The 14,131-nt window shown below is 42.4% G+C and overlaps 1 protein-coding gene across 12 annotated transcripts in view; it reads right to left on the bottom strand.

Annotated features, from left to right (window-relative positions):
* Positions 1-14,131, bottom strand: part of MROH2A (maestro heat like repeat family member 2A) — a 57,695-nt gene that overhangs the window by 41,756 nt on the left and 1,808 nt on the right. For 9 of the 12 annotated variants that reach the window (XM_011511076.3, XM_024452844.2, XM_024452839.2 and 6 more), the window contains exons 1-5: positions 13,182-13,446; positions 12,211-12,318; positions 11,811-11,992; positions 2,035-2,166; positions 1,649-1,811 (exon numbers count right to left, since the gene is read on the bottom strand). In XM_011511076.3, coding sequence (XP_011509378.1) covers positions 1,649-1,811; positions 2,035-2,166; positions 11,811-11,992; positions 12,211-12,318; positions 13,182-13,257 — 661 coding nt within the window. In that variant the 5' untranslated portion in view covers positions 13,258-13,446. Of the gene's footprint in view, positions 1-1,648; positions 1,812-2,034; positions 2,167-11,810; positions 11,993-12,210; positions 12,319-13,181; positions 13,447-14,131 lie in introns of those variants that run through there. The other 3 variants (XM_024452842.2, NM_001367507.1, NM_001394639.1) reach the window with 2 other exon arrangements.

The raw sequence follows: 14,131 nt of genomic DNA, 5'->3' as shown, positions 1-14,131 counted from the left end.
AATGCCAGGACCCCTCCGGGCTGGGTCCTCTCTCTACTTTCACTCCCGGATATCAATGGCTTTGAACATCACCTGCACTCTGAGGTCACCAAGAACCAAAGCCAAGCCCAGACCTGCCCTCTGAACTCCGCGCCACAAATCAACTGCCCCCTTCACCTCTCCCCTGGGGGCTCCCACAGGCAACATGAGCTCCACACACAGCATGAAGTTCTTCACTTGAGCTCCCAACTCTCAGTGCTTCTAGCTCGGGAAAGGAGGCCAACACGCTCCCAGTGGCTTGCTACCTCTGCTCCTTCCCCCGTCCTCAGCAGGTCCCGTCTCAGAGCCCCTTCCCACCTGTCACCCCTCACCACATGCTTCCCAGCCCAGCCACCATCACAAGTACCCACCTCCTAGTACTCTCCATCCAGGCAGCAGTCAGAAAGGCCTTCCCACAACCTGCATTCACCAGGCGACCCTGCAGCTTAATGTCCTTCGATAGCTTCCTAGTGCCCGAGGTGACGTCCCCAAGGCCCTGCCTGACGCTCCCCCTCATCTCTCTCTCACTCCTTAACTCCAGCCACAGCCACTTCTCAACTCTTCAGAGATTCCAAGCTCTTCTCTGCCCCAGAGCCTCTGCAATGTTCTCTCCGTGTGGAATGCTCTCCCGGTCCTATGCTTCACACAGACATCCTCCTCTCTGCCTTCAGGTCTTAGCTGAAATATCGCTACCTCAACAAGGGCTGCAGAGATGAGGTCCCCTCCCTTAGCCAGATCTCAAACGCCCATTTGGCTGCTCTCTTCATACCCGTCACCTCCTGTTATAAACGTCTATTTCCTTGTTTGCCTGTTGGTCCTTTCTGAGCACCGGAGCCATGTGTGTCTTATGTATTGTAGTGGCCAGGTACCTGCCACAAGGCCTGCATGGAGTAGGAGCTCAGCGCATGCTTCTGGGATGAAAGGAAGGGAGGGAGGATGGAGAAGGAAGGAAGGAAGGAAGGAAGGAAGGGAGGGAGGGAGGGAGGGGAGGGGAGGGGAGGGGAGGGGAGGGGAGGGGAGGGGAGGGGAGGGAGGGAGGGGAGGTGAGGGAAAGGGGAGGGGAGGGAGGAAGGAAGGAAGGAAGGAGAAAAAGAAAGGGGGAGGGAGGGGAAAGAGTAAGTAAGGCAGGCAATTAAAAAGGAAAGGAAGGAAGGAGGGAGGGAGGAAGGAAGGAGGGAGGGAGGAAGGAAGGGGGGGAGGGAGGAAGGAAGGAGAGAAGAAAAGGGGAGGAAGGAAGGGTGGGATGGAGGAAGGGAGGAAGGGAGGGAAGAAGGAGAAAAAGGGGGAGGGAGAGGAAGGAGTAAGTAAGGCAGGCAATAAAAAAGGAAACGAAAGAGGAAGGAAGGAAGGAAGGAAGGAAATTAAAAAAGAAAGAGAGATGGAAAGACAGAACAATGCAGGTGGAGGGGAGCAGGAGAGAGGGGGAAGAAGGATGAGAGACAGAACACACAGAATCTTAACAGCTAAGAGACAAAAGGACTGCAGACACAAAATGAATCAATTTTAGAGGGAAAAAGAGAGAAATGAAAGGTAAGAGGAAGAGGTGAACATAGGGATAGATGGGAGGGGCAGAGAGAGGCAGAGACCAGAAGGGCACACTGGGCCCGGCTGAGGGCCCTCAAGCCCCTACCATTGCCGTTGGCCAGCTTGGCCAGTGTGATGATGACAAATTCATCAGTGAGGTTGAGGGGCTTGAGGTGGTGCTGCAGCTCGTACATGACCAAGCTGAAGTGGTTTCGGGACAGAGCCACCAGTGTGTCGCTGGCCACCTCTGCCTTCATATAGCCCTCCATCTGCAGGAGACAGAAGAGGGACATATGGCACCACCACCAGCCGGGCCTCCAGGAAAACCTTCCTACCCCAGGCTCTCTCCACCCCTCCTGGTTCCCTTGGGCTCAGCCTTACCCCTGCTCTGAGAGGTAACTGCACAGGGCTGTGGGCATCCTGGGCCAGGCCCCCCGTGGCCCAGCTCCTGGGCTGGCAGAGGGAAGGCACCGATGGAGCTTGGGGTCCTACCTCTGGGATCTCCCTCATCTCCTTGGAGGCAATGGCCACCAGCCTCTGCACGCACTGCTCCTCCAGCTCCCCCTCCTGCTGGATGATGTCCTGGAGGATGTTGTAAATGTTGACCTTGCGCTGGGTGGAAATCTGGGAAACAAGTATGGTGGGTGGAATGGACCTCACCCTGCCCCCAGCACAAGTCCACCTCTCTCTCCCACTGTCCTCCTTCCCTACACCCAAACCACCAGCCTCCAAACACACAAATCTTAGATCCCCATTCCTCCATTTCTAAATCCTCCTGCTTCGCTTCTCCTGCCCTTCTCATCCCACTGGCCCTGTCAATATGACTTGCGTATCTGTATTCCTGCCCGATTTCAGTAAATATCTGGCAAGGCAGGTGTTAAGTGATCAACACACAAGGTTCTCTATGCATGGGGCATTGGCCATCTTGAAAGCCCAAAGAAGGCAGGCTCACCTTGCCTTTGCCCTATTGAGGGAGTCTGTGGGCCCAGGAAAATTGCCTCTTACTCTCTTCCAATTCCTGCATGATAGCGCTTATCACCACTGAAAATGACCTGGTTTAGGATGGGATTGGGCAGATAGATTGCACATCCCAGATCACACCTGGAGGGTCGTATTTGAGAATACTTTTAATCAGGCATGACAAGTTACTCTTTTTTTTTTTTTTTTTTTTTTTTTTTTTTTGAGACGGAGTCTCGCTCTGCCGCCCGGGCTGGAGTGCAGTGGCGCGATTTCGCCTCACTGCAAGCTCTGCCTCCCGGGTTCACGCCATTCTCCTGCCTCAGCCTCCCGAGTAGCTGGGACTACAGGCGCCCGCCACCACGCCCGGCTAATTTTTTTTGTATTTTTAGTAGAGACGGGGTTTCACCGTGTTAGCCAAGATGGTCTCCATCTCCTGACCTCGTGATCTGCCGGCCTCGGCCTCCCAAAGTGCTGGGATTACAGGCGTGAGCCACCACGCCCGGCTGACAAGCCACTCTTAAGGAATGAGGGTTACTTTCTAGGTGGAGCCACTGCCTGCAAAGCCCTCAGGAAAAAATGTCCTTCCTCCTCTGGTGGTAGGGAGGTCACTCCCAACAGTCCAGAATCCTTAGCAAATTTGGGGACCTTAAGAAGAGAGGAATTCACCCAAATGTGTAAGTTCTACTGGTGAAATCCAGTACAGGGAGTCTTGGTCTTGGTTTCCTACTTTTGGGATAGCAAATAATAGGGATTTGTAAAACTCCAATCAGAAATCCCTATGACAGCTCCCAGAAATTAATGATGTGGCCTTAGTAGCTGCTCAGTGCTGTGTGGCTCAAGACCAGTGTTTCTCAATCTTTATTATTATTATTATTATTATTATTATTATTATTATTACTCCCAAGGACATTTAGACTTTTTTCCTAATCACACCCCAACGAGACTTTAATGCCATATATATGTATATGTGTGTGTATATATATAATATATGTATATGTATATATAAAATATATATTATATATATATAAAATATATATGTATATATAATATATATGTATATATAATATATGTATATATAATATATATGTATATATATAATATATGTATATATAATATATATGTATATATATAATATATGTATATATAATATATATGTATATATATAATATATGTATATATAATATATATGTATATATAATATATGTATATATAATATATATGTATATATAATATATATGTATATATATAATATATATGTATATATAATATATATGTATATATAATATATATGTATATATAATATATATGTATATATAATATATATGTATATATAATATATATTATATATAATATATATAATATATATTATATATGATATATATAATATATATGTATATATGATATATATAATATATATAATATATATGTATATATGATATATATAATATATATGTTTATATGATATATATAATATATATGTATATATAATATATATAATATATATGTATATATGATATATATAATATATATAATATATATGTATATATGATATATATAATATATAATATATATATGTATATATGATATATATAATATATATGTATATATAATATATATGTATATATGATATATGTAATATATATGTATATATAATATATATGTATATGTATATATATTATATATGTATATGTGTATATATATATAATATATATGTATATGTATATACATATGTGTGTGTGTGTGTGTGTGTGTGTTATACATATCCATGCTTTATAATGAAAAAGTAAAATTTTCTTTGTCCCCCAAGAACTAGTTTTACTTAACTGGGGGGCAATATCACCCCATTGAGAATGCAAGCTCTAGATTTTCACAGTAAACTCAAGGAGGCCAATATGCTTAATTAACACTCTTACTGCACCCTGTACAAATAGCCAGGCAAATTATAAGAAGATCAGCCTTTTTTGTGATCAAGAATAATCTTCGGAGAATATTTATAGTCACAAGAGAAAAACTGTCAAAGACTTGGAAATAACAAAAGCGATCACTGAGTGGCCTTCCAGAGCAGAGCTTGGTTCTGTCTGGCAGATGCTGTGGAATTACTGGATTCTGTAGAGTGTGCATCTGTGATTGCCAAGGCTACTTTACATCTCTGTAGGGAAAAAAGTTAAATCCTAGAAAACTGATAACAATGCACGTGTTTCCTACATAGGAATGAAAATGATTCCTGTTCATGGCAGTGCAAATGGATTTTGTCTGGTAAAGCACAGGTAAAATTCTCATTTGAACAGCTTTTAACATCTTACTAGTTCCTTAACTAGTTAAGGAGAAAATAAAATCTTTGATGCATGTTAATTTTAAAATGTGCCTATTTGTTTATTGTCTGTTTATTGCCACTGATGACTGATTAAGACCTGTGTGTTAATCATGGTTTCTTATTTTCTTCATTTCCTGATGCTTTGGCACCTGGGTCCTTGCTGACCCTAGAGAGACTACTCCTCCCAGAGCTAGCCAGTTCCTAGAGATAGTAACAAGTTGTCCATCAGCATGCTTTTTAAGTACAAAACAACTGTTACAGATTGAATAATGTACCCTAAAAATTCCTATGTTGAAGCCCTAACCCCCAGTGGGATAGTATTTGGAGATGAGCCCTTCGAAAGGTAATTAGGGTTGAATGAAGTCACAAGGGTGGGACCCTAATCTCATGGGATTGGTGCCCTTATAAAAGAAGCAGAAGACACAAGAGTGCTTTCTCCCACTGTGCGCATGCACAGGAGAGCCACGTGAGGACACAGTGAGAGGGCAGTCACACAAGAAAGCCAGCAAGGAAGCAAGGCTTTACAGAAACCAAATTTGCTGGCACCTTGTATTAGTCTGTTCTCGCATTGCTAATGCAAACATACCTGAGACTGGGTAATTTATAAAGAAAAAGAGGTTTAATGGACTCATAGTTCCACGTGGTTGGGAGGCTTCACAATCATGGTAGGAGACAAAGGGGGAACACAGTCATGTTCTACATGGCAGCAAGCAAGAGAGAATGAGAGCCAAGAGAAAGGGGAAACCCCTTATAAAACCATCAGATCTCGTGAGACTTATTCACTACTATGAGAACAGTATGAGGGAAACCACCCCATGATTCAATTATCTCCCAATTGTTCCGTCCCACAACATGTGGGAATTATGGGAGCTATAATTCAAGGTGAGATTTGGGTGGGGACACAGCCAAACCATATCGCACCTCAATCAGGGACTTCCAGCTTCCAGAATTGTGAGAAAATAAATTTCTGTTTTCTAAGCCACCCATACTATAGTACTCCATTAGGGCATCCTGAACACAGTATTCCAACCAACACAGAGCCCCTCTCCCAATCACCTCCTTTATTGGGCTCTCACACTCTGGGCCACTATCCACCTGTCCTAATCACACAGGGGAGGTATCAAACAGCCAGGGACAGCTACTTTGCCCCAGAGTCCACTGAGAATATTCAAATTAGCTAATTCTAAGCCTTCTTACCCTACCTCACCAGTTTCTTTCTACAGAAACCACAATAAAGCCTGTTGCCTATAATTTCCCCTGACTCCCTCTGCCTCCTCACAGACCCTAGTGCTTCCCCTGTGTGACCCTGCATGGCATGGTTGGCCCCCTCTCTTGGGAATGTAACAAACTGTCTTTTCTCCTTTTTTTTTTTTTTTTTTGAGACAAAGTCTCGCTCTGTCACCCAGGCTAGAGTACAGTGGTGCAAAATGGCTCACTGCAGCCTTGACTCAAAAATGCTGGGCTCAAACAATGCTCCCATCTCGGCCTGCCAAGTAGCTGGGACTACAGACAGGTGCCACCATACCCAATTAATTAATTTTTTTAGAGATGTGGTCTTGCTATGTTACCCAGGCTGGTCTTGCACTCCTGGCATGAGCCACCATACCCAGCCAATAAACTGTCCTTTCAAGAGCAAGTGTCTCCTGAGCTGTTGGTCTCATCATAGCTGAATAAAAACAAAGCCTACATTTTTTTTTTTTTGAGATGGAGTCTCGCTCTTTCATCCAGGCTGGAGTGCAGTGGCACGATCTCAGCTCACTGCAACCTCCACCTCCCGGGTTCAAGCAATTCTCTTGCCTCAGCCTCCCGGGTAGCTGGGATTACAGGCGTGCACCACCACGCCTGGCTAATTTTTGTATTTTTAGCAGAGATGGGGTTTTACCACATTGGTCAGGCTGCTCTCGAACTCCTGACCTCGTGATCCGCCCGCCTTGGCTCCCAAAGTGCTCCCAAAGTGGCATGAGCCACTGCGCCTGGCCTACATTTTTTAAAAGCCCGTGTTAGTCTGTTCTTGCATTGCTATAAAGGAATACCTGAGGCTAGATAATTTATAAAGAAAAGTGGTTTATTTTGGTTCATGGTTCTGCAGACCACACAGCAAGTATGCTGCCGGCCTCTGCTTCTAGTAAGGCCTACCCATGGTGGAAGGCAAAAGGGGAGCCAGTGCATCATGTGATGAGGGAGAAGGCGAGACAGAGGAGGCGCCAGGCTCCTTTAAACAGCCAGCTCTCATGTGAACTCATTACCACAGGGAGGGCACCAAGACATTCATGAGGGATCTTCCCCCATGACCCGAACACCTCCCTCCAGGCCTCACCTCCAACTCTGAGGTCACATTTCAACGTCATTAGTTTCTCATCAGCACATGGAATATTCTCCAGAATATACCATATTTTGGGCCACAAAACAAGTCTCAACAAATTCATAAAACTATAAATCACATTATTTTTTCTGACCACAATGGAATAAAACTAGAAATCAACCACAAAAAAACTTTGGAAAATACACAAACACATAGAAATTATGTAATATATTGCTGGATGACCACTGGTTCAATAAAGAAATTAAGAAGGAAATTTAAAATTTTACTGAAATGAATGGAAATAGAAATATAACATACAAAAATCTATTGGATACAGCAAAAGCAGTATAACAGGGAAGTTTACGACAATAAAAGCCTATCTCAAAAAAGTAGAAAGAATTCAAATAAGCAACCTAATGATACACATTAAGGAACTAAAAAAAGCAAGAATATACCCAACCCAAAATTTAAAGAAGGGCAAGAGATCAGTGCAGACATAAACAAAATCAAGAGTAATAAAACAATACAGGAGAACAAAAGAAAAGTTGAGTTTTTGAAAAAACAAACAAAATTGATAAATATTTAGCTAGAGTAAATAAATAAAAAAAAAAGAGTGAAGACCCAAATAAATAAAATCAGAAATGAAAGGATGCATAACTGAGACTGGCAGAAATACAAAGAACTGGCTGGGCACATTGGCTTATGTCTGTAATCCCGGCACTCACGTCTGTAACCCCAGCACTTTGGGCGGCCGAAGTGGGCAGATCACTTGAGGTCAGGAGTTTGAGACCAGCCTGGCCAACATGGCCCGTCTCTACCAAAAATACAAAAATTAGCCGGGCATGGTGGTGCGTGCCTGTAATCCCAGCTACTTGGGAGGCTGAGGCAGGAGAATCGCTTGAACCCGGGAGGCAGAGGTTGCAGTGAGCCAAGATTGTGCCACTTCACTCCAGCCTGGGCAACAGTGTGAGACTCTTGTCACCAAAATAAATAAATAAATACAAAGAATTATTAGAGTTATTAGAGTTACAAACAACTACATGCCAACAAATTTGAAAACCTATAGGAAACAGATAAATTCTTGGACATATACAGACTACCAAGATTGAACAACGAAGAAATAGAAAACTCCGATGAACCAGTATCGAATAATGAGATTGACAGTAATAAAAAGTTTCTTATCAAAGAAAAGCCCAGGACCGGATGGATTCACTGCTGAATTCTACCAAACATTAAATAAAAGCAAATACCAATTCTACCCAAACTATTCAAAAAAAGAGATGGATAAGGAGGGAATACTGCCAAACTCATACTACAAGGCCAGCATTACCCTGATAGAAAAACCAGACAAGAACACAACAAAAAAAGAAAACTACAGGCCAATATCTGTGATGAACATAGATGCAGAAATCCACAACAAAATATTAGCAAACTGAGTTCAACAACACAATAAAAAGATCATTCACCGTGATCAAGTGGGATTCATCCCAAGGATGTAAGGATGGTCCAATACACACAAATCAATAAATGTGATACATCACATTAACAGAGCCAAGAACAACAATCATATGATCATTTCAATATATGCTAAAAAAAGTATTTGATAAATTCAGCAGCCCTTTATGATTTTTTAAAAACTCAACAAGCTGGGCATAGAAAGAGCATACCTCACGATAATAAAAGCCATATATGACAAACCCACAGCTAACATTGTACCAGATGGAAGAAATCGAAAGCCTTGTTCCTAAAATCTGGAACAAGATAAAAATGCCCACTTTTACCACTGCTCTTCAACATAATACTGGAAGTCCTGGCCAGAGCAGTTAGGCAAGAGAAAGAAACAAAGGGCATACAAAATAGAAAGGAAGAAGTCAAATTATCCTTGTTCACAGATGACACGATCTCATACTAGAAAAATACAAAGACTCCATCCAAAAACTGTTAGAACTGATAAATAAATTTAGTTAAGTTGCAGATTACAAAATTAACATACAAAAATCAGTAACATTAGTATATGCCAAATGGCAAACAACAGAACACTTCACCCATTTTGAAAAAGAAACCAAGAAATCCATTTCATTTACAATAGCCACAAAAATATAAAATACCTAGGAATAAATTTAACCAAAGAAGTGAAAGATCTATGCAAGGGAAACTATAAAACACTGATGAAAAGAATTGAAGAAGACACCAAAAAATGGAAAGCTATTTCATGCTCACTGATAGAAAAATTAATATTATCAAAATACTACCAGAAGCAATTTAGAGATTCATTGAAATCTCTATCAAAATACCAATGACATTCTTTACAGACAATTTTTACATGGAACCATAAGACTCCAAACAGACAAACCAATCCTGAGCAAAAAGAGTAAAGCTGGAGGCATCATACTACCTGATTTCAAAATATACTTTAAAGCCATAGTAACCAAAATAGCATGGTACTGGCATAAAAACATGCACATAGACCAATGGAACAGAATAGAGAGCCCAGATGTCAATCCATGCATTTACAGTCAACTCATTTTTGACAAAGGTGCTAGGCACATATAATGGTGAAAGGACAGTCTCTTCAATAAATGGTGCTGGGAAAACTGGATAACCATATGCAGAAGAATGAAACTAAACCCCTATCTCTCACCATATGCAAAAATCAAATCAAAATGGATTAAAGACTTAAATCCAAGACCTGAAACTATGAAACTACTAGAAAATAATCATTGGGGAAATGCTCCAGGAAATTGGTTTGTGCAAAGATTTTTTGTGTGAGACCTCAAAAGCACAGGCAACAAAAGCAAAAATAGACAAATGGGATTATGTCAAGCAAAAAACTTATGCACAGCAAAGGAAACAGTGAACAAAGCGAAGAGACAACCCACAGAATAGGAGAATATCTCTCCATCCTACAAGGGATTAATAACCAGAATACACAAGGAGCTCAAACAACTCAATAGCAAAAAAATCAAATTTAAAAATGGGCAAAAGATCTGAACAGACATTTCTCAAAAGAAGGCATACAAGTGGCCAACAGGGATATAAAAAAATGCTCAACCTCACTAATCATCAGAGAAATGCAAATCAAAACCACAATGAGATATTATCTCACTCCAGTTAAAAAGACTTTTATCCAAAATATAGAAAATAACAGATGCTAGCAAGGATGTGGAGAAAGGGGAAACCTCACACATTGTTGGTAAGACTATAAATTAGTACAGCCATTATGGAAAACTCTATGGAGGTTTCTCAAAAAAAGTAAAACTAGATTTACCGTATGATCCAGCAATTCTACTACTGGGTGTGTATCCAAAAGAAAGGAAGTCAATATATCTAAGAGATAGCTGCATTTTCATGTTTATTGCAGTACTATTCACAATAGCCAAGATATGGAATCAACGTAAGTACCCATCAATGTATGAAGGGATAAAGAAAATGTGGTATACACAGACAACGGAATATTATTCAACCATAAAAAAAAGAAACCCTGTCATTTACCGTAACATGAATAAAACTGGAGGACATTATGTCAAGTGAAATGAGTCAGGCACAGATAGATAAATACCACATGTTCTCACTCATATATGGGAGCTATAAAAATGGTGAGCTCATAGAAGTCAAGAGTAGAATTTCGGTATTAGGGTATGGGAAAGGTAAGGGCAGGGGAGGATAGGGAGAAGTTGATTAAAAGATACAAAATTACAGCTGGAGAGAAGGAATAAGCTCTTGTGTTCTATAGCACTGTAGGTTGTGAATATAGTCAACAATGATTGATTGTATATTTTCAAAAAACTAGAAGAAACAGTTTTGAATGCTTGCAACACAAAGAAATGATAAATGTTTGCAGTGTTGGATATACTAATTACCCTGATTCGGTCATTACACATTGTATATATGTTTTGAAATATCACTTTGTATTCTATAAATATGTACAATTGTTATGTGTCAACTAAAAATAAAAGGGGGAAAACGCAAATGCAAATCCAAATCCAACAAAAATAATAAAACTTTTTATAAATAAGCTCCTCTGCTCATAGCACCCCTTTGCTACCCACTCCAAGACAAAAGGGTAGTCTAAAATCCAACAGTTCTCAAAGTAGGCTCTCCAGATCAGCCTTGGCATCACCTGGGAACTTGTTAGAAATGCTGATTCTCAGGCTCCACCCCAGACTTACTGAATCAGAAACTCTGGGGGTGGTGCCCAGCAAGGTTTGGATCAGCTCTGTTCCAAACCCTTGTCTAGTCCAAAACCTTGTCTGGTACCACGTGATGCAAACCTTGTCTGTACAAGCCCACCAGGTCCCCTGGTTGCACTTTGTATCACTCCCTCCAACATCCTCTACCCCAGCCCCTTAACCCAGCTAGGCATCTCCCCACTAGCCAAACATCCCTGCACACTGTGTCTGGTGTATCTTTACTCTCCCATGCCCACTGGCTCAACATCTTTGCAACTCAGCTCATGTGCTGTAGGACAATGGCTCCCAAACCCACTGTGTCAGAAGACAAGGGAACTTTTAAAAATTATGAACATCTCAGGTCCCAATTGGTCCTCAGGGAGTAAGCACCTCACAGTCTTGCCCATCTCTGTATCCCAGTACCACACATCACATCTCTGATAGTCAGTAACTATGTGCTGGGTGGTGGATGGATGCACACAGAGCTAAAGGTGGCTGAGCCCAGTGGGTAAGATGGCCCTACCTCTGGCACCTGCAGGCAGCGGATGAGAGTGTTTATCACTACAGAAGGCTCAGTGGTGGCCTTCTCCATGATTATCACCGAGGCCAGGGTCTTCCGCATGTCAAGGCCTGCCCCTGTTGTGTCCGTCTTTGCTGACTCGCTGTCAATGATGTCCAGAAGGTTCACGACTTGTTGAAAGGTACCTATGAAAACAAACGCCACCCAGGTGCAGTGTGGAAATGACCATGACAGGAGGTGCCCTTGTGTCCCTGGCCTTGCCTCCACCTGCGCAGCTCCAGCTTCATGTGTGGTATGATGTCCACTGTGCAGATGGAGAAAGGGAGACCTAGGCTGGGGCTGCAGTCAAAGAGTTAGTGTCTGAGATGGGGCAGGAAAGCAGAAATGTGGATGACATTCTTACCACTGTCATGTAATTCAAGAGGCCCCAGGTCGTCTCTTTCCTCTGACACCTCCTCACTTGAGGCTACTGCTGCTTCTGTAATGGCTTCAGTCATCTCTTCCTCAAGCTCTTTTGAGATCAACAGAATTTGTAAAATACGGGGTGTGACACACACCTTAAGATGACCCCAACGACCCACACCCTTCCATAAAGCCATCCCCTTGAGGGTGTGTGGGTGGAACCTGTGACTTCCTTCTAATCAACAGAATATGGCAAAGGTGATGGGTGACCCTCTCTCGAGTGGATTACATCATATGGCAAAGATGGTGGGATGTCATTCCCATGATCACACTATGCCACATGAGATTCCCTCTTATCAGATTGAACAGAAACATTCTACTGGCCTTGAAAAGTAAACAGCCATGATGCAAACTGCCTGTGGTGAGGGCCACGTAGCAAGGAACTGAGGGCCTCAGTCCTACAACCATAAGAAACTGAATTCTCCAATAAGCACATGAGCTTGGAAGAGGAAGCTGAACTCCAGAAAGGACTGCAGTCTCTGAGACCCTAAACAAAGGACCAAGGAAAGCCATGCCTAGACTCCTGGCCAGTGGAACCGTGAGATAATCAATGGATGTTCTTTTAAGCCACTGAGTTTATGATAATTTGTTACACAGCAATAGATAATATCCTTAGTTTAATAGAGCCCTCTCGCCCTCTCTTCTACACACTGATAATTAATGGCTAATGAGAAATTCATATCAGTATCTCTCATAACTCCTTTAAGGGGTTCTCTCAACATCCACAGCTTCTTAAAAATTGAGAAACACCAACATAGATGTCGAGATGGTGGAAGAAAGGCTCTCAGATCCTTTCTCCTCCTGTCCCAAGTTCCTTGATCCTCAAAGATCCATCCCATGGCCCTTTACTATCCCATACTCTCTTTTCCTTTAAAGGATTTTAAAGAGCTACTCTGGGACCTAAATACTGACCTTTCCTTAGGGTCTTCTTCTGGATTAAACAGATATTAACCACAAGAAAAAGCTCTGCTCTTGGCCCAATACACATCAATGGAAATGCAAATGGAAGAATTGGTTATCAAAGTGAGACAGCTGGGCTCTTCAGTCATATTTCTTATAGGAATGGGTCTCCTGGAAGGGTGGGAGGGTTTCACTAGAACTATCACCGTTAGATCCCAGACCCTCGGAACTTTGAGATCCAACTGCCTCCCTGAGTCTCTATCAACCCAGGTCTTTGAAGAGTGCACAGGGCTCTGGGGTGAAAACTCCACATCATGTTGTCATTCAACATTTCTGTTATTCACATGTGTGTGCTGAAGTACAGGGGCCTGTTTGGGAAAGGGAGATGGTAGAAGTGGGGATGGCTTACAACCAAGTCCCAGGGGAACACAGTCATGTGAGCCCTGGGTGGGGAGGTGTGGTCAGGACAGTTGGAGAGGAGAGGAGGGGCAGACTGAGAGGCCCTGGGGAGAGCACTCCTCCTTCCCGGGGACTGGATGACTTGCAGGATAAGAAATTGGATTTCCACTAGCACAATACTTACAAGATAAAGAACATCAAAGACAGGTAGGAGAGGAGGCACCCTGATTTCCTAAACCAAAAGTGGAGCCCAAAGGATTTCCCTGTCATTTATAGCTAGGAGAGATGATCCAGATCATAGGTACAACAATGAAATATTGGCCTTTGGGAAATCTTTCTATGCACTGCAAGACAACAGGAACAAAACTCAGAGACATCTAGGGCCAAGGTTGCTTAAGTGGAATTTCCACTCCAAGTTTGCCCATCCAGCCAAATGGGAGTTCCTCAGCCTGTGCTTGGACACCTCCAATACGAGGGAGCTCATTACTCTCAGGACCAGCCTCTTTCTACTTCATGGAATTCAGATGGTTAGAAAATGAGCTTTCTTATCATGCCCAACATTT

Source organism: Homo sapiens, chromosome 2 (genome assembly GCF_000001405.40).
Source record: "Homo sapiens chromosome 2, GRCh38.p14 Primary Assembly".
Taxonomy (NCBI): domain Eukaryota; kingdom Metazoa; phylum Chordata; class Mammalia; order Primates; family Hominidae; genus Homo; species Homo sapiens.
This window is presented reverse-complemented; position numbering and strand designations above follow the sequence as displayed.